The 27,455-nt window shown below is 39.4% G+C and overlaps 1 protein-coding gene and 1 long non-coding RNA gene across 3 annotated transcripts in view, besides 3 other annotated features; one reads left to right on the top strand and one right to left on the bottom strand.

The window, feature by feature from the left end:
* The window catches only part of MYHAS (myosin heavy chain gene cluster antisense RNA), a 242,409-nt gene that overhangs the window by 106,974 nt on the left and 107,980 nt on the right, over positions 1-27,455 (bottom strand). The window lies entirely within an intron of this gene.
* On the top strand, positions 25-26,260 carry MYH1 (myosin heavy chain 1). Of its 2 annotated transcripts, none has more exons than XM_017024675.2 (40): positions 25-47; positions 297-327; positions 1,889-2,128; positions 2,225-2,368; positions 2,485-2,641; positions 3,672-3,699; positions 4,443-4,557; positions 4,654-4,746; positions 4,878-4,941; positions 5,602-5,700; positions 5,783-5,886; positions 6,021-6,159; positions 6,375-6,493; positions 6,579-6,728; positions 8,912-9,082; positions 9,895-10,204; positions 10,611-10,681; positions 12,468-12,555; positions 12,638-12,755; positions 13,056-13,179; positions 13,268-13,404; positions 13,502-13,757; positions 15,319-15,561; positions 15,653-15,829; positions 16,656-16,801; positions 16,883-16,973; positions 17,068-17,457; positions 17,815-17,941; positions 19,475-19,593; positions 19,745-19,941; positions 20,650-20,833; positions 21,115-21,280; positions 21,374-21,498; positions 22,018-22,326; positions 22,414-22,617; positions 23,250-23,375; positions 23,466-23,636; positions 23,894-23,998; positions 24,118-24,213; positions 25,999-26,260. In XM_017024675.2, the coding sequence occupies exons 3-40, from the start codon at positions 1,925-1,927 to the stop codon at positions 26,149-26,151; spliced, it is 5,820 nt and encodes a 1,939-aa protein (XP_016880164.1). In that variant the 5' UTR covers positions 25-47; positions 297-327; positions 1,889-1,924; the 3' UTR covers positions 26,152-26,260. The 2 variants fall into 2 exon arrangements, with proteins under 2 accessions (XP_016880164.1, NP_005954.3); NM_005963.4 differs by having other exon boundaries at positions 1,885-2,128.
* Positions 12,706-13,905: an enhancer, noted in NCBI's record as "MED14-independent group 3 enhancer chr17:10407979-10409178 (GRCh37/hg19 assembly coordinates)". NCBI's record gives its function as "activates an origin of replication core promoter dependent on BRD2, BRD4, P300/CBP and CDK7 cofactors, and independent of MED14, by STARR-seq in HCT116 cells {active_cell/tissue: HCT116}" and the evidence as "EXISTENCE:reporter gene assay evidence [ECO:0000049][PMID:35650434]".
* Positions 21,075-22,274: an enhancer, noted in NCBI's record as "BRD4-independent group 4 enhancer chr17:10399610-10400809 (GRCh37/hg19 assembly coordinates)". NCBI's record gives its function as "activates an origin of replication core promoter dependent on BRD2, P300/CBP, MED14 and CDK7 cofactors, and independent of BRD4, by STARR-seq in HCT116 cells {active_cell/tissue: HCT116}" and the evidence as "EXISTENCE:reporter gene assay evidence [ECO:0000049][PMID:35650434]".
* Positions 25,595-26,794: an enhancer, noted in NCBI's record as "MED14-independent group 3 enhancer chr17:10395090-10396289 (GRCh37/hg19 assembly coordinates)". NCBI's record gives its function as "activates an origin of replication core promoter dependent on BRD2, BRD4, P300/CBP and CDK7 cofactors, and independent of MED14, by STARR-seq in HCT116 cells {active_cell/tissue: HCT116}" and the evidence as "EXISTENCE:reporter gene assay evidence [ECO:0000049][PMID:35650434]".

Below are 27,455 nucleotides of genomic sequence, written 5' to 3'. Positions count from 1 at the left end.
GTACCCTTGGAATGAGTATGACTTGTCTCTCCTCATAAAGCTTCAAGGTAAGTGTGTGTGAGGACAGGGCTCTGTCTGGAGGACGGTAAGGGATGTCTGGCTGCCCGCGTGCATGCCACACATCCTGGCTCCCACTGTCCCTGGCAGCCCTGCCAGTGAAGCACCAGCTTACTCCGTAGCAATTTTAATTAGATGTTGTAGTCTTCCCAGTCATTTCCTGGTTCTCAGTTAAGAATTGTTCTATAATCGGGAATTGTTATAATTTAATCAGAAGAGGTTTGCTCTTTTTCTTACAGTTCTGATCCACTTTAAGGTCGCATCTCTACGGTAAGATTCTGATTTTTTTTTTTCTCATTCCTCACAGAGTGCAAGGAATCTTCTGCAGTGGTTTGGACAGTGGTGAGGGGCGGGGTGAGGGAAGTGATAAAAAAAATCATTTCCATTTCATGGTTGATCACGCTTCTCTTAAAAAATGGAGAATGACTTTAGAAACTGGTTCTCCTTAACTCATATCCCTCGCAATATATGAAAATGCTTTCTCAGAGTCCTTGGGAATTTTATTCACAATAGTGAATTTCATTCACTATTTCCAGCATTGTAGTTTATCTTTTAAATGACTGCATTACAATATGCAATGTAACATTTCAAAGTGTTACTCAATTATAGAGAAAATTTAAATTTTCTATACCATGGCTTTTCCTCAGCACTATAAATATAAAAACCTATGAGAGATGATGTCTAATTGGATAAATAGAATGGTCTGAATCTTTGCCTTGGAAAAAGTTGCTTAACTGCATGTTGTTTCACAATCTATAAAATAAAAATTAACGAATATATACACACACACACACACATATGTATATATACACACACACAATACGAAACATGATTGTCAGCATATTCAGCAAGATGAAGCATTTTAATTATGTTATCTGAGTCAACATAGTTTCAATGGGAGAAATGTATCCAAATGAGCTTCCCTGGAAAAGGTATCTTTATTATTATAAAGTAGAATATACATGAAGATTATTGACAGCATTAATGAATGCTAGCTAATGTGGCAAGAGGGGGATCCTGAAAAGAACAAGTTTTGTGAAATTGTTATAAAAATGTTAATAATAGAGCAAGAAAACATAGGTAATAACGTTTTATAATAAATATTTAAGAAATGCTAAAGATCAGTGAAGAAGTTGAGTTTGTCAAAATTATTATACAGAGACAACAGAAATTGATGGATAACAGAACATTTTTTAACAATGCAAAACAAAGAGCCACACATTTCTGCTTTCCTGTATATTAGGAAGTCTTCGTAACTCCCAAGTTTATAATGAAAATATTTCTGTCATGTACAGAATAGTTCCTAAAATTATAGCAACATATTCCTATTGTTCTTTTAATTCACCAAGCCAGCTTTGAGCCTTTCTCTGTGTCCAGCATTTGTTCTAAGAGGTGTGAAGGATACCATAAAAAGAAGAGTGCTCCCTGCCTGCAAGGTGCTTATAATCCAGTTGGGAAGATAAAAACTATAAGTGAAAGAACTGGAGACTATCCTGCCACCATTATAGCTTTATGTTCTCTATAAGCCAATGATAGGCAGCTTATAAAGATTAATATACCTAACAAATGAAACAGAGAAAGCAGCTAAGAGACTGCAATAGGTGAGCCAGAAACAACAGTCTCTTTCCAAATGCATGATTAAGTGTCTGTCAGCACTGGCACAGAACAAGGAGACTGACATTTTATCCTCAACCAAGCCAGGGAGGTGGTCATACCCAATGCAATGCTAAGCACTCAATTGGTCAGTAAATTTTTTTTTAAAGTTTTAAATGTGAATCTAATGGTCCAGTTTCTTAATTTCTACAATTTCTTTTCTTCCTCTCCCAGCCAGGGTCCTTAACTGGGCTACCATCAATAACCTGCAGCCATGAGTTCCGACTCTGAGATGGCCATTTTTGGGGAGGCTGCTCCTTTCCTCCGAAAGTCTGAAAGGGAGCGAATTGAAGCCCAGAACAAGCCTTTTGATGCCAAGACATCAGTCTTTGTGGTGGACCCTAAGGAGTCCTTTGTGAAAGCAACAGTGCAGAGCAGGGAAGGGGGGAAGGTGACAGCTAAGACCGAAGCTGGAGCTGTGAGTAAAAACACCTGGAGCTGATTAGACTCTGCCTCATTTTGGGTTAAGTTAGCACTTACTTTTTGATCTGGCCTCTCTTGTTTGACTGGACAGACTGTAACAGTGAAAGATGACCAAGTCTTCCCCATGAACCCTCCCAAATATGACAAGATCGAGGACATGGCCATGATGACTCATCTACACGAGCCTGCTGTGCTGTACAACCTCAAAGAGCGCTACGCAGCCTGGATGATCTACGTGAGTTCTTTCTCACGGTCTTCTACTCATGAGAGTAGTTAATAGTTTTTGAAAAGTAGTAGATGATTAAGGTCCCCATCAAATAATTCTGTTCCTCCCTTTTGTTTTGGGTGCAGACCTACTCAGGCTTGTTCTGTGTCACTGTCAACCCCTACAAGTGGTTGCCAGTGTATAATGCAGAGGTGGTGACAGCCTACCGAGGCAAAAAGCGCCAGGAGGCCCCACCCCACATCTTCTCCATCTCTGACAATGCCTATCAGTTCATGCTGACTGGTGAGTGGCTCAGCTGGTTTTCATATGAATTATTTTACCATCCATAATCACAAAATATTAGAACTAAAAAAAGACCTTTAGAAAAAAACCCAATTCACGCCCCTGGTTGTTCAGCAGAGGTGACTAAAGCACAGAGAAGTATATACTGTCAAAGCTCGTATTAAAACACAGCTCTCCTGATTACACCTCACTGACTTTACTAGGCCATGCTATTACTCCATCCCATTAAGTTTAATTTGTTTATGGTCTCCTTGCTTGGAAACACACAATTTATTTTATATATTTAAGTAATAAGAGCCAAGATTAAGTAACAACTGAATCATATAAATCATGTATTATCTGAATAGAAATGAAAAATAGGAGTTCAATCCTTTTGGTGCCTCAGTTTCTTGTTAATTATAAATTAGATTCTTTTACAAGTACTGTCATCTCTTTAAAGTTATCAGAGTACATCTCAGATATAATATCCTCTGTTTGAATGAAGATGATGTTTTGGGGCTACACACATATAAACAGAAATTGTTTTCCCCCCTTAGAAAGATTTTATTTTGATTGAGGCATCCTCTCTTACCTCATCTTTCTTTAACACAATGGTACACTTTGGGGAAGGCTGATCGAAGTTAGGGCTATATTGAAGTTAGTCTGTGGCCATAAGATAGTAAATTTTTTCTCTTTGTGAAGTCATCTGACACATTTAGAAACAAAATCTCAGTCATGGCTTGATTAACACTATTTCAATCTATTAAATAATAGTCCAAGCCTTTAGCATATTATGCATTTTTCAGCTATATGCATTAATTAGCAGATAGCATGCCATTGAAATCTACAGATGACAACTACGGAATGTATCTAGCTTTGGAGAATACTGCTCTTTATATTAAACCAGCAGGACACACCCATAACTTTACCATAATATATTGAAAAACCCCACTGAATACATGACACTTATACTCAAATGCCCTGTTTCACTATAGAAAGTTTTGTTTGTGTAACTGATACATATGCTGATTTTCCACTGTTTTTCTTCTAGATCGGGAGAATCAGTCTATCTTGATCACGTATGTATTCCTATTCTGAGATTTATTGGCAGTTTGTTCTTACTGGAAAAATGACAAACCAAAAAAAGAAATTAGTTAATGTTCTCTACTAAAGCACTGAATGATCAACCTGGAACTAGATATTGGTTTAGCTTTATTATAAGGTTTACATTGCATTAGAATGTAAAATAATAATGTTCTAAATCACCTCATTTGCTGGTCTTGAAAGTTCCACAGAACTTTTTGGTGTGTAGAAAGTGTAAAATGAGCTGGGCTGGAACCCAGTATAGTGCAATGAGCAGCATACAGCCTTCAAAAGGTACAACAGTTTGGAAATACTACTAGTGGTTCATTTTTAAGGCCCACTTAGAGAATGTCTGTTCCTTCAAAGACCAAACTTGAGCCATGTCTCTAGTCCGAGGAAATGGAAAAACACATGCACGTTTCATAGAGTTTCCTACTAATTGTTCCATTCACTACAGAGGTGCTGAGTAGCTGCTTTTCAGACCCCTCAAGCCCAGGCCTCAGCACCCAGAAAAAAAGCTGACACATTATAAACACTCAAGAAATACGTGTTAAATGAACAATGACTGATTTTTTCTACTTCTTGCCAGTGCAAAGCAAAAGAAATAATACGAGCTATATGTAGGCTGAAAAGAAAGATGTAAAAGGCTCTCTAATAGAGATATAAAGACAAAGCCATGAGGTAGTTGTAGTTTCATTTGTCACAGTGCTTAATTTCTCATACGTTTGGTCTTTGACAGCGGAGAATCTGGCGCAGGGAAGACTGTGAACACCAAGCGTGTCATCCAGTACTTTGCAACAATTGCAGTTACTGGGGAGAAGAAGAAGGAAGAAGTTACTTCTGGCAAAATGCAGGTGAGTCTGATTGTTAGTCAGAATCCAGGCTCTGTCGGGACTCTCAGGTAGGAAATTCCCAAGCCCCAGATGCAAGGACTGCTCTTGCCTTTGCAGGGGACTCTGGAAGATCAAATCATCAGTGCCAACCCCCTACTGGAGGCCTTTGGCAACGCCAAGACCGTGAGGAATGACAACTCCTCTCGCTTTGTAAGTCTCTTGGTTGCCAAAGGGTCTTCTCTGCCTTTAGATGCCAGAGAAAGCATGTCTGAATTATTTCAGTGGCATCCCCACTACGTACTTCAAGCTTTGGGTATAACATCATTTTTTTTACTTACAAGGGTAAATTCATCAGGATCCACTTCGGTACCACAGGGAAACTGGCTTCTGCTGATATTGAAACATGTGAGTAACAGGACCTCCTAAATAGAATCCAAGAATGACAAATATTGGTTTGGAGGAACACTTTGCAGCTCCTGCTGAACATGGAGCTTGTAAAGCACCAGTCTGCTGCCAAACATGCTTGTGGTTAATGTCAGTCTTATCCATAGCCCACAGTATGCTTTACCCACTCCAGTCATGAGGTAATGCTTCTGTGGGAACTGCCAGGAACTGCTGGGCATGTCCAAAGTATTCCAGCCTCAGAATGATTTCAATTTTTTTTTTAAGAAAAAACTAACACTAGAAGTAAACAAGTTGTCCAGGGATTGAGGATATGTGATTTATTCCTAGTCTGAGCTTTAATACTGTTGCTTTTAGTAGTCCCTCTATTATATGGCGACAGGACCCTGCAGAGGGAGTCTCAGGACTCAATTATATTCCAAATGTCAAGGATCTTCTGTATGAGAAGTGAATATCTTGAGCCAAGCATATTTCACTTTTTTCCCAGGAGGCAGGAGGAACTGCAATAGTGTTTGTAGAGACATAATATGTGGTACTTCACAGGAACATTCAGTTGAAATCTCAAGAGGCCAGTGAGATTTAGCTAATGATCCCAAGTCCTCAAATCACTCCAGGACATTGTGTAATTTTTCCCCATAATCTGATGTCTACTATCCGTTGCAGATCTTCTGGAGAAGTCTAGAGTTACTTTCCAGCTAAAGGCTGAAAGAAGCTATCATATTTTTTATCAGATCATGTCTAACAAGAAGCCAGATCTAATTGGTAAGAAATAAATTCATAGCTAGAAGATTGTCACTGTACTATCTTCTAATGTAAAACATATGCCCTGAATTCTGTGACCCAGAAATGCTCCTGATCACCACCAACCCATACGATTATGCCTTCGTCAGTCAAGGGGAGATCACAGTGCCCAGCATTGATGACCAAGAAGAGTTGATGGCTACAGATGTAAGTTATACATGAATTTTAATTTAAAATCCATTATGCATGGGAATGGCAATAACAGCCATCTATATGTGTGTAAAAGATACAGTATAAATTCTCTTGTGCCCTAATCTTTGTCTTCTCATCTCTCATGGTAGAGTGCCATTGAAATTCTGGGCTTTACTTCAGATGAAAGAGTGTCCATCTATAAGCTCACAGGGGCTGTGATGCATTATGGGAACATGAAATTCAAGCAAAAGCAGCGTGAGGAGCAAGCTGAGCCAGATGGCACTGAAGGTACCAAATGAATCTCCATCTGGGTTTAATGAGAGAATATAGGCAAAAATGTCCATTCCAAAATTCAAGTCTTCTTTACAGCTGAGCTCCTGATGGACATACTCAGATGTACCCACACACAGACTTTCTACAAAGTTATTTACTCAATACTATGCCCCTTTGAACTGTGGGTCCCAGAGTAAGTCATATTAGGTATCTGAATTATGTTTCTGCAGTTGCTGACAAGGCAGCCTATCTCCAAAATCTGAACTCTGCAGATCTGCTCAAAGCCCTCTGCTACCCTAGGGTCAAGGTCGGCAATGAGTATGTCACCAAAGGTCAAACTGTGCAGCAGGTAAGTGCATGACCTCAATGAATCACACACATCCCAGGCCTTCATGACATGTCTTTAATAACACCAACAAACTTTATCTGTGAAGGTGTACAATGCAGTGGGTGCTCTGGCCAAAGCTGTCTACGATAAGATGTTCTTGTGGATGGTCACCCGCATCAACCAGCAGCTGGACACCAAGCAGCCCAGGCAGTACTTCATTGGGGTCTTGGACATTGCTGGCTTTGAGATCTTTGATGTGAGTTAGCAGAAAAATTGTACCAAAAAAGTTTCCAACAAGCAAGCTTGTTGCTGCAGTCATATAGCATGCCTGTAGTCACTTATGGAAAGGGTCTATGAAAAATAGCTGCACTTTAAACTTAACTGACACATGAAAGAGCACCAAAAGACCGTGAAAGGAAGTGAACTTTGGAATGAGACAGACCTGGATTCAAACTCCTGCTCTGCCAATTACTAGCTGTGTAATAATGAGAATTGTACCTGATTGATCATTGGGCAAATTCAACTAGGACCTGTAGGTAAAGCACTTAACATTCCAGATCACAGATTCACTTCTGAGATCTGTCTGCTAGTTTCAAGATTTCTGAATTTTCAGCCCTTAACACAGTCCCCAAGCATGCAGGCAGCACTCAGTAAACAGTAAGATACTGAGGGCAACAATAGAATCAAAGATAGCAGTGGAGAAGACAAAGTCTTTAAAAGAAAGACTTTGAGATTCTGTTTGCCGAGAAATGAAATGTGTTTAATTATTAGGATAACCTCTGCAATACCCAGGTATTGAGTATAGAAATGGCATCGTAAATAAACTCAAATTTGTCTGCCTAAGGAAGAATACCTGCTACACAGCTTAGGAAATAGGGCTACTGCAGTCCTCCACTTGACAGCAGTATCTCGGATGTGTCTCATTTAGAGGTCCCAATTCTAAACTTTTATCTGTGTACGGACTGATTGAAACTGGATGAAATTTTAGAAACGGAAGCACTTCCAGACATTTCCAAGCCAACGTGGAAAGAAAGGAATAATCTGTCATCAAGCAGGAACAGAAAAAGCAATCCACACTTTTTAAAATAAGAGAACTAATGACAGGGTACTTGCAATCATTTTGAGCTGCTTCTTTTTTTTTTTTTGAAGTAACAGCTTTATCGAGATATAATTAACATATCATACAATTCACCTATTTAAAGTATAAAATTCAATGGTTTTTAGTATATTCACAGGTACATGCTATCATCATAACAATTTCAGAACATTTTCATCATCCCAACAGGAAATTCTATTTTGTCCTCCCCCTAGGCCACAGAAACCCCTAATCTACTTTCTGTCTCTGGTTTTGGCTGTTCTGGACATGTCTTATAATGGAATCGGATAATATGTGGTCTTTGTGACTGGCTTCTGGCACTTCGCATATGCTTGCCAGATTCATCCCCCTCATAGAATTCCTTTGACTTTTGTGTATGGTGATAATGCCCTTAAACAAGGGCATCCTCAATTGTGTTTCTATGTAGGTGTCCCGAATAATAAAGCAGGGCAGGTCTACTCAAGTTCTAGGAGTAGTTACAAACACTGGCTCTGGCATCAAAATGTTGGGGTTCCTGCCATGACCCTTACTACCATGGTCTTACACAAGTTACTTAGCCTCCCTAATAGTGTTTCCTCACCCATGAAATGAGCAAATGATACCACCTACAAAGGTAGCTGTGAGGATTAAATGCAGTAACTTATACAAGGCACTCAGCATAGTGTCTACTGTAGAGTAAATGTTCACCAAATATTAGCTGTTGAATTTTTATTATTAAGGACAACATACAGACCATAATGGCTCAGATCTAGCAAATTTAGCTAGTTTACAACATAATCATAATCATTAAGAAACCTCTGACTAACAAAAACAAATACTATAAAAACCAAACAACTTTTAAAAAAAAAACTTTTAAGTTCAGGGGTCCATGTGAAGGTTTGCGACATAGGTAAGCTGTGTCGCCCACGTATGAAGCCTAGTACCCATAAGTTATTTTTTCTGATCCCCTCCCTCCTCCCACTCTCCACCCTCCAATAGGCCCCAGTGTGTGCTGTTTCCCTCTATGTGTCCATGTGTTCTCATCATTTAGCTCCCACTTATATGTGAGAACATACAGTATTTGGTTTTCTGTTCCTGCGTTAGTTTGCTAAGAATAATGGCCTCCAGCTCCAAACAACTTTTTTTTATTGCATAGGAAAGCATCATTCAGAGCTTGTTGACAGGTGTTGAAGAGACAATTTTAACAAGTATGCTAACAGCAGCAAAAACTTCATTGTGTAGGTATAGGTAGGACAAAACGATACCATCCTAAGAGGGCAATTTGGCTAACTAAAAAAACACCCCTTTCAAAGAGAAGATTTCATTATAAATTGAATGCTAATTTGTATTTTCAACTCATTTAGTTCAACAGCCTGGAGCAGCTGTGCATCAACTTCACCAATGAGAAACTGCAACAGTTTTTCAACCACCACATGTTCGTGCTGGAGCAGGAGGAGTACAAGAAGGAAGGCATTGAGTGGACGTTCATTGACTTTGGGATGGACCTGGCTGCCTGCATCGAGCTCATCGAGAAGGTTGGCTTGCTTTTTGCAGACCACAGATCATACTGCTGTACAGTATTTAAAAGAAAATCATAAAATCTTGATATAGGCAATGGCTAAATATTTCTACTTGTGAAAAACATGAGGAGAATTCCTTATTTTGCCAACTCTGAAGTAGATATTCTGGTAAAAGGAGATTAAATATTTTCTATAGAGTCCAGAACACAACACTTACCCACAGTTTGCAATACAAAGTCTTACATTTAAAGTCATCTTTCCTTACAAAAAGTGCACTGACTAGAATATTTTTTACTTACTGTTTTTTGTCATCCTAAAGTCATTATTACTGCATTCAAAGTATGAATTTCTACTACTGTACGTTAAAGCAGAGGCTTTTAAAATCCAGTGTGCGAAAGACCCACCAAGAATACTTGGTACAATTGCAGGTTTCCCTTGTCTCACCCCTAGAAATATTTTCTGGTAAGTGTAGGATGAAACATCGGAATCCTCATTTTGAGCAAGTGATTCTGATGCAGCTAATTCGCAAGTCACACTTGGAGAAATATTGCTCTCAGGTCTTTGGGGTAAAGACACAAACTCCACAGGAGCACAGCCTTCATCTGTCTTACTCTGTCATATCCCAGAGCCTGATACAGCACGTGGCTCCTGATCAGCACCCAATAAATATTTGTGAAGTTAATGACTTCTGACCAAAGGAACGAGTTTTCGTTAACTCTGTAGAATTAAAGGATGAATTTACTCAGATGGGATAATTATTAATGTTAAATGTTATTTCTATAAGCAGACAGAATTCAAGTGGCATTTATTTCTTTTCATTCTTCCAGCCTATGGGCATCTTCTCCATCCTGGAAGAGGAGTGCATGTTCCCCAAGGCGACAGACACCTCCTTCAAGAACAAGCTGTATGAACAACATCTTGGAAAATCCAATAACTTCCAGAAGCCCAAGCCTGCCAAAGGCAAGCCTGAGGCCCACTTCTCTTTGATTCACTATGCTGGCACCGTGGACTACAACATTGCCGGCTGGCTTGACAAGAACAAGGACCCCCTGAATGAGACTGTGGTGGGGCTGTACCAGAAGTCTGCAATGAAGACTCTGGCTCTCCTCTTTGTTGGGGCAACGGGAGCGGAAGCAGGTAATTATCAATATAATTAATCTTTTACCTAATGTATAAAACATAACTAGAGGCCAGACACGGTGCCTGTAATCCCAGCATTTTGGGAGGCCAAGGTGGGTAGATTGCCTGAGGTCAGGAGTTCAAGACCAGCCCGGTCAACATAGCAAAACCCCGTCTCTACTAAAAATGCAAAAATTAGCCGGGCATGGTGGCAGGTGCCTATAATCCCAGCTACTCGGGAGGCTGAGGCAGGAGAATCGCTTGAACCCAGGAGGTGGAGGTTGCAGTGAGCCGAGATCACGCCACTGCACTCCAGCCTGGGCAACCAAGAGTGAAACTTCGTCAAAAAAAACAAAAAAAAACAAAAAAAAAAAACCATAACCAGAGAAAGGCTGTCCTATGATTGCTTTCTTTTTCCCCTCAGAGGCTGGCGGTGGAAAGAAAGGTGGTAAGAAGAAGGGTTCTTCTTTCCAGACTGTGTCTGCTCTCTTCAGGGTACAAACTTCATTTTCTCTGTCTAATTAGATTTAGGATATTAAATGTACTCTATGGTGTGGGGGAAAAAACTAACCTTGCAAGGATTCTAGAACTGATGTGACTCAACGAGATAGTTCAGCTGGTAGTGGTAAGACTGAGTTTTAGGGAGCTTGAGGATAGTTTGGAAGAGGGGATAGTTTGGAAGAGATACCTCACTATTCAGAAGACACAGGAGTCAGGAGAGATGAAAGCGAATTGCAGAAGTCAGTATTAGACGGCAAAATTCGATTCTGGGGCCTGAGAATGAGGTCATTTAACCCTTAAAAGACTCCAGTGGGATAGGATTAAGTAAAGCTGAGACTTGCTTGAGGCTTTGGGAGCCTCCAAGTGATTTAGGTGCTTAAAGATACATTGGTATAGAACCGAAATGAGTAGATTTTGAAAGCTATAAGATAGAACAGTGGTGGGAATTGGAGCCTGAGTCAAAAGAAGGAAATAAGAAACCAGATGTGATAATAAATAGCACTTTTAAAAAAATTACGGCCAAGCACAGTTGCTCACGCCTGTAATCCCAGCAATTTGAGAAGCCAAGGCAGGCAGATCACTTGAGGCCAGGAGTTCGAGACTAGCCTGGCCAACATGATGAAACCCCATCTCTACCAAAAATATAAAAATTAGCCAGGCATGGTGGTGCACACCTGTAATCCCAGCTACTCAGGAGGCTGGGCATGAGAATCGCTTGAACCCAGGAGGCAGAGGTTGCCATGAGCTGAGATCATGTCACTGTACTCCAGCCTGGGTGACAGAGCAAGACTCCATCTCAAGGAAAAAAAGAAAAGTCTATTTTTCTTTTGGCAATCCCATTTCTGATTCCATCTCTAATAACTGATGCTGTAGATATTCGGAAAAACCAGGATTTTCAAAAGATGGAAAACTTTACACGCTTGGTAACATGGCTGTCAGTTTTCTACCAATTCCCAGAATAGGCATTAATAAAGGCCACTTTCTGTGGAATAAGTAGGAGGACACAGCTCTATATCTATGGCAAGGAATACACATTTGATAGACACACAGATACAAGTGAAAGTCAGGTAAAGAAAGAAGTGAGTGTGACTGGGCACCATGGCTCATGCCTGTAATCCCAGCACTTTGGGAGGCTAAGGCGGGTGGATCACTTGAGGTCAGGAGTTCGAGACCAGCCTGGCCAACATGGTGAAACCCCGTCTCTACCAAAAATACAAAAATTAGCTGGGGGTGGTGGCATGTGCCTGTAATCCCAGCTACTCAGGAGGCTAAGGCAGGAGAATTGTTTGAACCCGGGAGGCAGAGGTTACCGTGAGCCAAGATTGCGCCACTGTACTCCAGCCTGGGCAACAGAGCAAGACTCCATCTCAGAAAAAAAAAAAAGAAGAAGAAGAAAAGACAAAGAAAAAAGTGGGAGAATTAGAGGAAGGCATTGATTAGTAGTAAAATCAGACCATGTATCTAGGCAAAAAAAGAATGGGTAGAGTATTTCCATATATTTAGAGTGTCATAGTGAATTTAAAACATATACTAGGAAATTAAACAGCAGCGAACAGTCACTTCAACAGCAAGTAGAAAACTATGCTTCTAATGCACACCAACAGAAAACAGGGGGACATATTAGGAATGTGGAAATTCCAGAGATAACTCTTTGAAAATTTTCATCTGGATACTATTCATTAGAATTAAACCACTGTCATAGATCTCAATAATTATGTCTATAAATATGAATGTAGAAAACAGTACATTTTTTAAAGTATAAACTCGCATGGTTCCACAGGAGAATTTGAATAAGCTGATGACCAACTTGAGGAGCACTCACCCCCACTTTGTGCGGTGCATCATCCCCAATGAAACTAAAACTCCTGGTAAGACATTTCTGATATCCAGACAAGCTCCAGTGTGTGTGTGATAGACCACGAAGTATGGCATGTGGATTCATTCTTTTAGGTGCCATGGAGCATGAGCTTGTCCTGCATCAGCTGAGGTGTAACGGTGTGCTGGAAGGCATCCGCATCTGCAGGAAAGGCTTCCCAAGCAGAATCCTTTATGCAGACTTCAAACAGAGGTCAGACATTTTTGCTGTAAATTATTTTAAGAGGTTTTTATTACTTTTTAAACATTTTTCAATGAAAGAATCCTTTATACCTCCTCTTAAAATTGAAGAGAAGATAAACTCACTTAACAAACTCCATATTGACATAAGAAAACTCTGAAGTCCTTTGAATAAACAGAGGATAGATAAAGGGGTAGATATGATTTCTTGTTTATTTCAGATTACCCAGTGGCTATGTTGTTTCTATAGCCAGACAGGAAGATTTCTTGTCTGTGGCAACAGCCATATCATTTTTTTGTCTGGCTTAAACAGATACAAGGTGTTAAATGCAAGTGCTATCCCTGAAGGACAATTCATCGATAGCAAGAAGGCTTCAGAGAAGCTCCTGGGGTCCATTGACATTGACCACACCCAGTATAAATTTGGTCACACCAAGGTAATATTCTGTAAATCCTACCTGATGCTATTCCTGTCCCTTTGAACTTTATGTAAATTTTCTGATCTGAAATTCTTCCCACACATAGGTCTTTTTCAAAGCTGGTCTTCTGGGGCTCCTAGAGGAGATGCGAGATGAGAAGCTGGCCCAGCTGATTACCCGAACCCAGGCCATGTGCAGAGGGTTCTTGGCAAGAGTGGAGTACCAGAAAATGGTGGAAAGAAGGTATTAATAAGAATTCTTTACTTAACCTCATCATCTTAGGTGTTTTAATTCTGCTTCTTATTATAATCTGATTTGGACATTTCTGTTCCTATGACAGAGAGTCCATCTTCTGCATCCAGTACAATGTCCGTGCCTTCATGAATGTGAAGCACTGGCCCTGGATGAAGCTGTATTTCAAGATCAAACCCCTCCTCAAAAGTGCAGAGACAGAGAAGGAGATGGCCAACATGAAGGAAGAATTTGAGAAAACCAAAGAAGAGCTGGCTAAGACCGAGGCAAAAAGGAAAGAGCTGGAAGAAAAAATGGTTACTCTGATGCAAGAAAAAAATGACTTGCAACTCCAGGTTCAAGCTGTGAGTATCCCGAAGTCATTTCCTGCAATCTGATGCTAAAACTTCAGCTCAGTGGTCACTAAGGAGAGATCTAGATTCTACCAAATAAGGGACAGATTATGAATCTTTAATAATCCACAACTCCTTAGAATGTTCTATAGAATTCCCTATACAATATTACTAAAAATCACTGTGGTAGGATTCTTTGATGTCAAGAAGGGAAAAATAAAAGCATTTTTCCTTCCCCTCTGTTGTTTTCTACAGCAGAATGTGAACAGGAAATAAAGTGAGCTTTGCTCCCTAAATTCTCCCTACTGAAAAATGCAAATAAGAGCTGTGAAAAAGAAAAATATTGTCAGTGAAGAGGAAGGAGACTTTGATGAAAACACATTAACTTGAAATCAATATTCTGAGTTTTGTATCTACAATCCCCGAGCAACTTTGTGCTCAACTTTATTTTTAGAAACTTTTAGTACCTGAAAGAGTAGGATTATGGCAAGAATAATGGCAATGCTTTCTGTAAGGATAATGGCAATGCCTTCCACAGATAATGTCTATTTTTATGCAAAGTATGAGAGATAGGGTTGATATTCTTATTCTAATGTCCCAGTAACTATCCAGAGGCTTGGAGAGAAATATTTGATCAAAAGCCACTATCTAACCCATTTTTGTAACACAAATAACAAGACAGTTCAATTGCTGCCACCAAAACCAACAGCAGAAACATTAAAAGTTACCATCCCAGTTCTCTGAATTCAGAAAGGGAATTGACTAGTCCCATTGTGCCTACAAGTTTGGGACACATATTTAGAAAATCTAAAGTATGATGAATTGCAAATACCTAGGTTGGTACTGTGACTTTCCTGTACTTTGTATAGATCAGGGTTTTCCACATTGAGGAGTGGTTCATCGTGCCTTCAAGAAACAGGAGATAATCTATCCAAGAATACTCCTCTCCTTTGAGGATAGTATTATAAAACTTCTGTTTAACAATATTCTATCAACTATCCACTAATAAATATTGGGTGAAGTCCCGGACAGGGATGTAAGTTTGAATGAGAGACATGGTCCTTCCCTCACAGTTTATCTCAACTCCTATTTCTTCTTATGAGAAATATGCTTGCTACTTCTCTAAGCATCACCTTGAACATGTTCCATTCCCTTTGTCTACTCTGTCACTGGATGACATTTCTTCCTGTTAAGGCACTTTTCTGATAGTACCCTTCTCTCCCAGCAACCTGCTAGAAACCCAATCCTTTTGTCTATTGGTTTTTCATATATTGAATGCTCCTGAAAATAAATATTAAATAAAGAAAATTGGCTGACCCGAAATTATATACCAACATATTATATATGTTATAACAAATATAATTGTAACATAATTTCACCAGGAACTATGACTTAAGTTCCTTTTTTTATTACCGGACTCATAAGTGCCCAATATTTACTGAATGGTAGAAAGCTAATAAAAATTAACCTGAAGGCTTAAAACAATTTACTTGTTTGGTTTCAAAATATTAATAAAATCTGAAAATGTCTAGGAATTTTCATAAAATCTAAAATATCTATTGCCTCTTCTCAGGAAGCTGACAGCTTGGCTGATGCAGAGGAAAGGTGTGACCAGCTAATCAAAACCAAAATCCAGCTAGAAGCCAAAATCAAAGAGGTGACTGAGAGAGCTGAGGATGAGGAAGAGATCAATGCTGAGCTGACAGCCAAGAAGAGGAAACTGGAGGATGAATGTTCAGAACTCAAGAAAGACATTGATGACCTTGAGCTGACACTGGCCAAGGTTGAGAAGGAGAAACATGCCACAGAAAACAAGGTATCAATCATATTCTACAGTACTGTATAGAGGTTCTGCCACCCAACAAAGGTGCTTTAGAGCAACTAAGCTGCTTTCTTCACCTTTGTAGGTGAAAAACCTCACAGAAGAGATGGCGGGTCTGGATGAAACCATTGCTAAGCTGACCAAGGAGAAGAAGGCTCTCCAGGAGGCCCACCAGCAGACCCTGGATGACCTGCAGGCAGAGGAGGACAAAGTCAACACCCTGACCAAAGCTAAAATCAAACTTGAACAACAAGTGGATGATGTAAGCCTAACATTATATAAAAATGATTTTTTAAATTTTGTAACAAACTAAGTAAGCATAAGTTTGTGTCGTTATGATATAGTGAGTACTTATCAAGTGCCTCCTATGAATGAGGAATATGGAACATCATCCCTATTACAAGGTCTAAGATGTACACACAATAAAGTTTTTAAAATCAATAAAGAAAGTTAACTGTGAATAATAGACAATACGGGTAAAAAGAATTGATGGAAAGGAAGGTTAATGTGTTCACAAAGAAAAGCTATACAAGCAAAACAGGTCTTTCGCTGGGCTTGAAAGACAAGGGGCTATGTGCAAAAAGAAAGAAGAGGGAGGGTGTTCTAAGAAGGCAGCATAGCAGCAGCAAAGAAGTTGTAATGATCAATAAGGTTTTCTCTCACAGAAACAAAGGACACTCAGAATTAGGAATGTGGAAGATAAATTTGGCTTTAAACATGATCTGATATCTAATAGAGAACCCACTGAAAATGCCTGAGTAAGGGAGGCGTTAAAAAAGTTCATGGTTTGGAAGTATTAGCATGGTGTCCATCCCAGCTGGAAAAGTATTGGATTCCAGTGGGGAGATGCAGAAGGCATAATGTCTCACTAGTAACTTATTGTAACAACGTGACAAAGAGGCACATTTTACCTTTTAAACGATGACTTTTTCGACTAGGTAAATACCAAGGAGAATGGAATCAATGGGACAAATCTGCCTAATTCATAGAAAAATAGTTTGCTGCATAGATATAATGTTTAAAAATTTCATCTGGGACAAAAGGTGCTACCATTCTAAGAACCATATTCATGGATTATTAACTTTTAGCTTGAAGGATCTTTGGAACAAGAAAAGAAAATCCGGATGGATCTAGAAAGAGCAAAGAGAAAACTAGAGGGAGACCTAAAATTGGCTCAAGAATCCACAATGGATATAGAAAATGACAAACAACAACTTGATGAAAAGCTTAAAAAGTAAGCAGTTTTAGGTCAACAGTTTTGTGGGGAAATTACTCTTAATATTTCTGAGACTGACATAAAGGGCTTTTCTAATAGGAAAGAGTTTGAAATGAGCGGTCTGCAAAGCAAGATTGAAGATGAACAAGCCCTTGGTATGCAGCTGCAGAAGAAAATCAAGGAGTTACAAGTACGTTAAATGATTTTCGCCAGGCTAATTTAACATCGAAAAGTTACTGACACCAAGAAGTTGAGTTCGTATTAATATTTTTCACCATTCCCAGGCCCGCATTGAGGAGCTGGAGGAGGAAATCGAGGCAGAGCGGGCCTCCCGGGCCAAAGCAGAGAAGCAGCGCTCTGATCTCTCCCGGGAGCTGGAGGAGATCAGCGAGAGGCTGGAAGAAGCCGGTGGGGCCACCTCAGCCCAGATTGAGATGAACAAGAAGCGGGAGGCTGAGTTCCAGAAAATGCGCAGGGACCTGGAGGAGGCCACCCTACAGCATGAAGCCACGGCGGCCACCCTGAGGAAGAAGCATGCAGATAGTGTGGCCGAGCTTGGGGAGCAGATTGACAACCTGCAGCGAGTGAAGCAGAAGCTGGAGAAGGAGAAGAGTGAGATGAAGATGGAGATCGATGACCTTGCTAGTAACATGGAGACTGTCTCCAAAGCCAAGGTACAATCAACACTTCACATTGATTATTTGGTTTTTTGTTTTTCCCTTTAGCACAAATATGATTTGTATCTCAAAAACGTCTCATGAACTAAATCAGGCACCCTTTTTCTCATATCACGTATAGTACAACTTAGTAAAGTAGTTAGATTAACAAGTAATTCAGTGGCTGTATGCTTGGACTATGTATCTTATTAGTCTTTCCATTCACTATCTAAGACCTTTGCTGGTTTTGTTTGTAAAGATAGTTTCTTCTCAAAATAAATGAGTACTGCAGCTCATATGGAATGTTTAGATTACTGAAACTTTCTTTGGTCCAACTACTTACTTGAGATGCCTTCTACCACTTTTTGAATGCAGGGAAACCTTGAAAAGATGTGCCGCGCTCTAGAAGATCAACTGAGTGAAATTAAGACCAAGGAAGAGGAGCAGCAGCGGCTGATCAATGACCTCACAGCACAGAGAGCGCGCCTGCAAACAGAATCAGGTGGGCCATGTACCAGTACTGACCTTGAATGACAAATTCACCCTGCATGTGTAATCCACTGAAAAACTCTGCATTTATTTACTTGAGGTCATATACTACCTCCCTGGGAGATCCCCACTAATATGAACACATTATTGACCACTGGCATGAGGTTGCTTTCTTTCATATATATACGAGAGAAATATATGTGTATATATATGAAACATATATATCCATATATATATTTGTATATATATCCATACATACATATATATATATATATAAAGAGAGAGAGAGAGATAAATAGAATCAGGCCCTTCTATTTTTGAAGACTTTAAGGGAGACTTGGCTTTAATCAAAAAGTTATCAAAAACAAAGTGCATCCTTACAGTACCTCTTTTCACTTTTCAAAATGCTTTCGCAAGCTATGTGTTACTTTATTTTCCTCATTAGTCTGTGTAATACTATCCCCATTTTAAAGACAGTGGATTATGGTAGTGATGAAGCAACTTGTCCAAGAATGTTTACTCCAGTCTTTTTCCTGAAGTCTTGCCAATTACTGGTAACTAACACGGTTAAGTAGGGAAATATTCAAGACCACAACCCAGCTGAGAAGCATTCAAGTAAGATTTGTAGATTTTTGATTAGAGAAATTGGAAAGTCTCTGCATTTATTCCCCCTCCTACTGACGTGTCCAACTTTCTACCAGAGTTGTATCTCCCCAGGTAGAGGTAACAAAATGGAAATTGTTTTATGGGTAATTTAGGCTATTAAAGTAATAGGCAGGTTAAAGTGTTGGAAAATCACTCTACACTTTTGGTATTCAAATACTATTCTTTCTATAACAAAGTTCAGAATAAATATTTATTATAATTCTTATTAAATGCCAGAGATAAAGTTCAAGATAACTAGTATAAAAATGGTGTGGAAAAGTTTTACTATCTTTCTAACATAATGTAGTGCATTTTCTGCATTATGGTGCTTAAAAAATTGAAGACATGTGTAAATGCCATTTAGTTTGGAAAGTACTTATCCAGAAACCAATTCATTCTGGGGATGGGAGACCACTTAATCATTTCTTAATATAAAAATCTTTCCAGAATTTCTCTTGACTATCATTTCTACTTACAGAAGACATTGCCCAAAGTCTCTTATTTTCCACAGTATAAATCCTTTGTTTCAACCAACTTTCAATGGAAGGCAAATTAGACAACACTACTGCCTTACATAAAATAAAAAGTACTAGAATATTTTGTTGGCTTGATTTACATTTTTTTCATGTTTCTTCATCAATTTTGACTACGATCAAATAATCGTAAATATCTCTTGAAATCTTTTGTGCTGTTCACAAGCATGTAATCTGCCTCAAATTTCTCCATGCTTCTAATTTTTACATGGATCTGCTTATCAAGGTTAAAGCGGATGTTGGTGGTTTGTTGTCACCCATGCCCTCCATCAAGTTTCAAACTTGGCTCCCTTTCCCTGCTCAAGTTTTTATTTTAGAGTTTTAATTTCCAAAGTAAGGTTGAGTTTTCTGGACTTGGTCTTTTACAGGTGAATATTCACGCCAGCTAGATGAAAAGGACACACTAGTTTCACAGCTCTCGAGGGGCAAACAAGCCTTTACACAACAGATTGAGGAACTGAAAAGGCAACTTGAAGAGGAGATAAAGGTAAGCTCCACTTGTCATTCTTGTCATTATTGTTCTTGTTATTTGTTTTTCGCTTACTTTTACAGACTTTCTTCTGGTGGCCTATAGGAGATCAGGAATCAAACATCACTTTAAATATATAAAATTAAGTCATCAATCTCTATGTTCTCAGGCCAAGAGTGCCCTGGCACATGCCCTGCAGTCCTCCCGCCATGACTGTGACCTGCTGCGGGAACAGTATGAGGAGGAGCAGGAAGCCAAGGCCGAGCTACAGAGAGCAATGTCCAAGGCCAACAGTGAGGTTGCCCAGTGGAGGACCAAATATGAGACAGATGCCATCCAGCGCACAGAGGAGCTGGAGGAGGCCAAGTATGTTCCAGACTTAGTTAAAATGGAACTATAAGTTTCCTTGCTCCCAAAACATATGAAAAACTAGGGAAAAAACATTCTGGGACCATATACAGCCATATTGTTGGAATTAATGTTTTGGTAGATGCCTTAGAAGAGATTCTGAGAGGAGTTCTCGATGCAAAATGTATATTGATGTGGGAAAGCTTCTTTATTATTAATGGATTAATTAAAAACTAGCACAAATAAGGGATACAATTAGACAGACAAAATCAAGTATATTTCATTTGAATTCAATTTATCCAACATTTGAGCCCTTAATATGTTGGACAGCCTACAAGAATACAAAGATTAGTACAGTACAGACTCTCCCTCTGGGGATTAAAATTATGTGGAGACACAGAAAAACAAACCAGTAATTCAAGGTAGATATTAATATTCTACAGAAGAGGAATAAACCAGCTACCTGGAAGGGTAAAGTGTTAGCTCATGCTTGTCATGGATGGCCTTAAAGCCACTCTATGAAGTATGGCAATACCAAAACTGGGGTTGTTTTTGGTATTTGGTGGTAGGATAATGGGAATGAGTTAATATAGAACTGGACCTACAAAACAAGCTTGAGAAGCAAAGTATTAAAGAAGTCTGATTGTGGAATTCACTCTCTTGTACCCACTTTGAAACACCCAATTCAGTTGACAGCCATTCACTTTTATTGCCCATATTTCATAGGAAGAAGCTGGCTCAGCGTCTGCAGGATGCTGAGGAACATGTAGAAGCTGTGAATGCCAAATGTGCTTCCCTTGAGAAGACGAAGCAGAGGCTCCAGAATGAAGTTGAGGACCTCATGATTGATGTTGAGAGGACAAATGCTGCCTGTGCCGCCCTGGACAAAAAGCAAAGGAACTTTGATAAGGTATTCTCTCCAGTTTTTGCTTCAACTTTCAACACAGAATTAACAATAGCCTGCTACCTTCAGTGTGCCCAATTCAAACCATCTGAGGGCTGTTCTCAGTAGCTCTTAACCCATCAGCAGCTGTCTGTGGAGAGGGGAAGTGCTCCTATGGTTTCTATTCTTCTCATTCATAATTTTTTTTCAGTCCCAGAACACCTCAACTCTGAGAGGTGCTAGAATAGATGGTTTTTATCTCATCAAATTTTGTCCACTAAATTTCTTGTCCATTCCTTGACCTTCAGATCCTGGCAGAATGGAAACAGAAGTGTGAAGAAACTCATGCTGAACTTGAAGCTTCTCAAAAGGAATCCCGCTCACTCAGCACAGAACTATTTAAGATTAAGAATGCTTATGAGGAATCTTTAGACCAACTTGAAACCTTGAAACGGGAAAATAAGAATTTGCAACGTGAGAACATTTTACCTTTTCTTTAACAATAAAAGATTTGAAAGAATCTTTTCCAACTATAAACAAATTTCTATATTTTTTGTTCACCAACAGAGGAGATTTCTGATCTCACTGAACAGATTGCAGAAGGAGGAAAGCGCATCCATGAACTGGAAAAAATAAAGAAGCAAGTTGAGCAAGAAAAGTCTGAACTTCAGGCTGCCTTAGAGGAGGCAGAGGTAAGCATTTTATTGCATACTCTAAAACAATTAGAAGAGGAATTGGGGTCTATTAAATGTAAGGAATGGTGAATCAAGAGAAACGAAAAATAATTTTTGCTCCATGAACTAGGGATGAGAATGGAGAACTGATCATGCATACAACCAACATAACCATATGTCAGGAACTGTGCTACACACTGAGCAAACAAAGATGAATCAGTTAAAGGCCCTGCTTTCAAGGGCACAATCTACCTAGGGAGATAAAAGCATATAAAATCAACAATAACATTCAATAATTTGTAGAAATGTCTAAAACAACAAAATAAAAATGTATGATGGCAGCACAAAGGCAGACAGTGTGTGTGTTAGAGAATAGCAAGAAAATGCAAAGGCATGAAAATGACACTCTTGTTTAAATCTTACTACTACTTAGAAATCTATTTATAAATAAGGTTTCATGAATGATAAATCATTCTTATCTCTAGAATACTACACACTTCCATTACTCTACTAATGTCACCTCTTGCTGTCATTAAGGCATCTCTTGAACATGAAGAGGGAAAGATCCTGCGCATCCAGCTTGAGTTGAACCAAGTCAAGTCTGAGGTTGATAGGAAAATTGCTGAAAAAGATGAGGAAATTGACCAGATGAAGAGAAACCACATTAGAATCGTGGAGTCCATGCAGAGCACACTGGATGCTGAGATCAGGAGCAGGAATGATGCCATTAGGCTCAAGAAGAAGATGGAGGGAGACCTCAATGAAATGGAAATCCAGCTGAACCATGCCAACCGCATGGCTGCTGAGGCCCTGAGGAACTATAGGAACACCCAAGCCATCCTCAAGGTAAATATGTCCAACAGATGATCCCAGGACAATTGGGGTGCCTGCAACCCTGAATACATGGTGTCTCAATGACGGTTTGTTCCACAGGATACCCAGCTCCACCTGGATGATGCTCTCCGGAGCCAGGAGGACCTGAAGGAACAGCTGGCTATGGTGGAGCGCAGAGCCAACCTGCTGCAGGCTGAGATCGAGGAGCTGCGGGCCACTCTGGAACAGACAGAGAGGAGCAGGAAAATCGCAGAACAGGAGCTCCTGGATGCCAGTGAGCGTGTTCAGCTCCTGCACACCCAGGTGCATGTAATAATAGAATAGCAACAAATACAAGGGTATGAAAATGACATTCTTGCTGAAATCGTGGTACTATTAAGAAATCTATTTATAAGATTTCATGAAGGATAAAGTTTAAAATATTTTATTTTTTTGATTATCTATATTCTTATCTGAACTATAACATCCATAGTTGATTTTTTTTTTTTTTTTGAGACGGAGTCTCGCTCTGTCGCTCAGGCTGGAGTGCAGTGGCGCAACCTCGGCTCGCTGCAAGCTCCACCTCCCGGGCTCACGCCATTCTCCTGCCTCAGCCTCCGGAGTACCTGGGACTACAGGCGCCCGCCACCACGCCCGGCTAATTTTTTGTATTTTTAGTGGAGACGGGGTTTCACCGTGTTAGCCAGGATGGTCTTGATCTCCTGATCTCGTAATCCACCCGCCTCGGCCTCCCAAAGTGCTGGGATTACAAGCATGAGCCACCGCGCCCGGCCAGTTGATTGTCTTTTAAACATATGTCAACTCAGATAATTTATGAAACAAGGAGGAATATTAATGAATTCATTTAGTTAATTAGTTTATGGTTCATTAGAACATGAGGTTTCCTAATTTTTCTCTCATGTGCCTAATATTTCTAAATTTCACATTTTAAACAGAACACCAGCCTGATCAACACCAAGAAGAAGCTGGAGACAGACATTTCCCAAATCCAGGGAGAGATGGAAGACATCATCCAGGAAGCCCGCAATGCAGAAGAGAAGGCCAAGAAGGCCATCACTGATGTGAGTGAAGGGTAACACAGTGGTGGTCAAACTTAAATCTTAATGTGCTGTCTTAGCTGTCTTAACCCATTCTGTTTTACTGCTAATTAGGCTGCCATGATGGCTGAGGAGCTGAAGAAGGAACAGGACACCAGCGCCCATCTGGAGCGGATGAAGAAGAACCTGGAACAGACGGTGAAGGACCTGCAGCATCGTCTGGATGAGGCTGAGCAGCTGGCCCTGAAGGGTGGGAAGAAGCAGATCCAGAAACTGGAGGCCAGGGTGGGTCTCCTAATCAGCATGTATTTCTATCTCATTCCAATCCAACACACGATTCTGAATACCTAGCACTGCTAGATGATGTGGGGCATACTGAGATGAGGGAGAGCTATTCCCTCATGCCCAAAAGCTCATAATAAGGAAAACTGAACTAGGGCATTAAAAACTACATATAAAGCAGAGTAGAAGAAGTATGTGGGTCATGTGAAGAAGTAGAAATTCGTCAAATGAATGTCCTTAAAATGTCCATCTTCTTGTAGGTTCGTGAACTTGAAGGTGAAGTTGAAAGTGAACAGAAGCGCAATGTTGAAGCTGTCAAGGGTCTACGCAAACATGAGAGAAAAGTGAAGGAACTCACTTACCAAGTAAGGAAAATGGCCTGTCTAGGTTTTCACTTTAGTCCACATGGGATTAAAAGTCATATGTATGACAAAATGTAATATTTGTACTTTCAAGAAACTTACTCTTGAAAACATTATTTCAGACTGAGGAAGACCGCAAGAATATTCTCAGGCTCCAGGACCTGGTGGACAAACTGCAAGCAAAGGTGAAATCCTACAAGAGACAAGCTGAAGAAGCGGTGAGTTCACAACCCCTTGGGGTGATTTTTCTCAGACATGACCAGGCCAGTTTAGTTAAAGTGACAAAAGAAAAGATGAGTAAAATGAGGAAGGATCAAAAGAAAACAAATGGCTACATGGAGGTCCAAGGCTGAGGTAAAACCAACCACCTGACAAGCCAGCAGAAGATGTTCTAGAGATGGGGAAGAGCAAATGCAAAGCTTTTGAGTGGGAAAGAGTCTGGCTCAAGAAGCAGACAAAAAAAGGAGGAAAGCACCACAACTGGGACTGGAGAGCCAGGCAGGAGGCAGCTCATAGGGTCTTCCAGGCCATGGTAAGAACAATAAGGTACTGGGAAGCCAGGGAGGGTTTTAATGTGGGTCAGTCACTACCTGATCTATATTTTTTAAAAAGAGCATTTGGGATACTATGTAAAGAATCGGTTACTGGGTAACACAAGTGGGTGCAGAGAGACATGTTAGGAAGCTTTTCAGGTCGGTTCTGTGGCTTGGATAAGAGAGTGGAGCAGAGAGAAGTGGAGAAATTCAGGACATATTTTGGAGGTAGAAACTACAAGATTGCTAATAGGTTGCACTTGGGAGATGAAAGAAAGGCAATTAAGAGTAATTTATCAAGTTTATGGTTTGAGTAACCAAGTGGATGATGTAACACTTAAGTGGGGAACAAAGGGAAGAACAGAATTGCAGGGCAAGAAAGAAACAGGAATTCTGTTTTAGATACATAATACCATATATACACAAGTGAACATGTCAAGTAAATAGTTAAATATAAGATTCTGAAACTCAGAAGGTCTTGGTTATGTTCAAATCAGTAGATTCTTAACACTCCACTTTATCTCATTTCCGTATCCCATGATTCATCTGGATTAATAATCAAATAGTTTCAACTTCCTACATATAAATATTCATAGTTACATATCACAAATGAGTTCCTCTGTTCATTGATGGTTTTTATTTTACCCCTGACATCTAAGGTAAGAGAGAGAGAAAGATGGGAATGGAGGGGAATGAGGGAGGGAGAGAAAACAAACACACTTGTGTGCACGGACACACACACACGCTACTGTCCATACCTCGGACAAATTGCTTAATCTTTCTCCAGTTCCTACTTTCCTCATCTGTAAGAGGAAAAGCTGAGGTTTTTTCTCAAGCTATACTATTTAATGATTCTAAGCTTTATGTCTGTTCTAAATTTGAATGCCACATTTTGGAGGTTCTTACTGAGACTTTTAAATAAGAATGATTACCAGAGACTAAACTAGAACTGACCTGCTCAAATTCTCTGCTATATATTTAAGTATAATCAGAGACAGCTCAGACTATTTTAGGAAACAAACTTCTTGCTTAATTTCTAAACTTAAGTGGCAATAATTTATACTCACATGGCAATAACTTATATTCAAGCTTAATGGTTTGGTTTGGTATAGATTGCATACTTGCACTCTTAAAAGGTTTGGTTCCATTCTCAGGATTCTGAAAAAAACAAACAAACAAACAAAAAAAAAAACAAAGCTGGACACCTGGCATATTTAGTAGTAGCTCTAGGATGTTCTGCTGTTCTAAAAGTTCAGATACAAAGGTCACCTGTCCTTCCTTGTTATCTATGAGTTCAAGAAGCTAATGCAAAAATAAAAAAAAATAAAAATTCAAGAGCATTTCTCTAGGTTTCTTAAAATATCTGCTAGAGTGAATCATTTTTAAGTAAAAAGGAAATTCAAGATCCACTGACCTAAGAATGGAAAAATTCTGAACTTTCTTCCCTCATAAATGGATTTCCATTCACAGGAGGAACAATCCAACGTCAACCTCTCCAAATTCCGCAGGATCCAGCACGAGCTGGAGGAGGCCGAGGAACGGGCTGACATTGCTGAGTCCCAGGTCAACAAGCTGAGGGTGAAGAGCAGGGAGGTTCACACAAAAATCATAAGTGAAGAGTAATTTATCTAACTGCTGAAAGGTGACCAAAGAAATGCACAAAATGTGAAAATCTTTGTCACTCCATTTTGTACTTATGACTTTTGGAGATAAAAAATTTATCTGCCAAAAACTTGTGAGTCTCTTTTTCCCCTCTATGTCAATTTGTCTTTAGAAGTACTGAGAAAAGAAAAACATCTCAACATTTTGGTTACATTTTACAGAAAAGTGCTTAGTCACCAATATTAAGACATGATAGAGAGCAGCTAGGCAGACCCGGTAAGTGCCACCATATGCGTCCCTATAGGAAGTAGGTGAACCTAAAGGTATACCACAAGCCATAAAACATAGAATATTTGGTAAACCTTACTTGACAAAACATAGCTAGTTTCTGTCAATGAAATTATTGATTTTCTTCATAAAATGATAGGAAATCCTTCATCCTAAGGCTGAGTAAAAATAAATTAAAACATGTTATTTACATAAAATGAGAAAAATTTAAAAATTAGATTAAAGTACTGTCAAAAATATTTAAAATGCAAACTCTTCACTATAACTATATGAACCATTTAATTGGGATTAGAATCCCTTGAGAGGGAAGCATGTTCTGTAGGTTTTCTGGCCCTTTGTAAATACAAGAGATTTTTAGTTTTTTGTTATCTACAGATGTTTAGTTTGCTGGATTGTGCCCCCTCCTTGGTTATCACAATCAAATGGTAACCAAGAGTTAAAAATTGTTAAGAAATATGTTTCTATTATGTCTTCTATCTCTTTGGCTACTTCTGTATTTTACAAGGATTTCTTCCTTGTAAGTATATTGATAGCAATAGGTCACTTCATATTTTTTAAAGTCACTACCCTACTCTCATTACTTTATATTTAGATGTCTGTATTGTGCCTTTCTACAGTGCTATGGCAATTATTGTCATCATTGTTGTAACCATGGTATTACTACTACAGGTTTACCTGTACTGAGGGTAGCATGGGCCTTCCACCTATGTCAATTTTTCATACAACATGAGCAAGTAAAATAGCAAGTATCTCATCCATTAAAGACATAACAAAGGTCTTGGAGAATAGTAACCAGTCTACTTAAAAGGAACAATATACAATTAAATGTTTCTAATCTTATGATCCAGTAGGTTAAAATATCCAGTCATACATCTCTGGACCTCAGTTCCTGGGGAAGATTCTCTCTGGGTCATTATGCACCTCCACTTATTTTCTATTGATTACTGGAAACAACTCGCTATTGTAATGCTATATCTTGGGTTGGACTTTAAAATAATTTTAATAGACTTTAATATCCAGTTTTCTCCCAAAGTTTA

The sequence above is a fragment of the Homo sapiens genome, chromosome 17, assembly GCF_000001405.40.
Source record: "Homo sapiens chromosome 17, GRCh38.p14 Primary Assembly".
Lineage (NCBI taxonomy): Eukaryota > Metazoa > Chordata > Mammalia > Primates > Hominidae > Homo > Homo sapiens.
Note: the sequence above shows the minus strand (reverse complement) of the source record. Positions and strands in the feature narration are given on the sequence as shown.

Excerpts from the sequence above, each read along its gene's own strand:
- MYH1 (XM_017024675.2), top strand. The coding sequence starts at position 1,925 with ATGAGTTCCGACTCTGAGATGGCCATTTTTGGGGAGGCTGCTCCTTTC. Across the intron at positions 13,758-15,318 it reads TGCAACTCCAGGTTCAAGCT|GAAGCTGACAGCTTGGCTGA; the intron begins GTGAGTATCCCG and ends GCCTCTTCTCAG. Across the intron at positions 21,499-22,017 it reads CTGCCTTAGAGGAGGCAGAG|GCATCTCTTGAACATGAAGA; the intron begins GTAAGCATTTTA and ends GCTGTCATTAAG.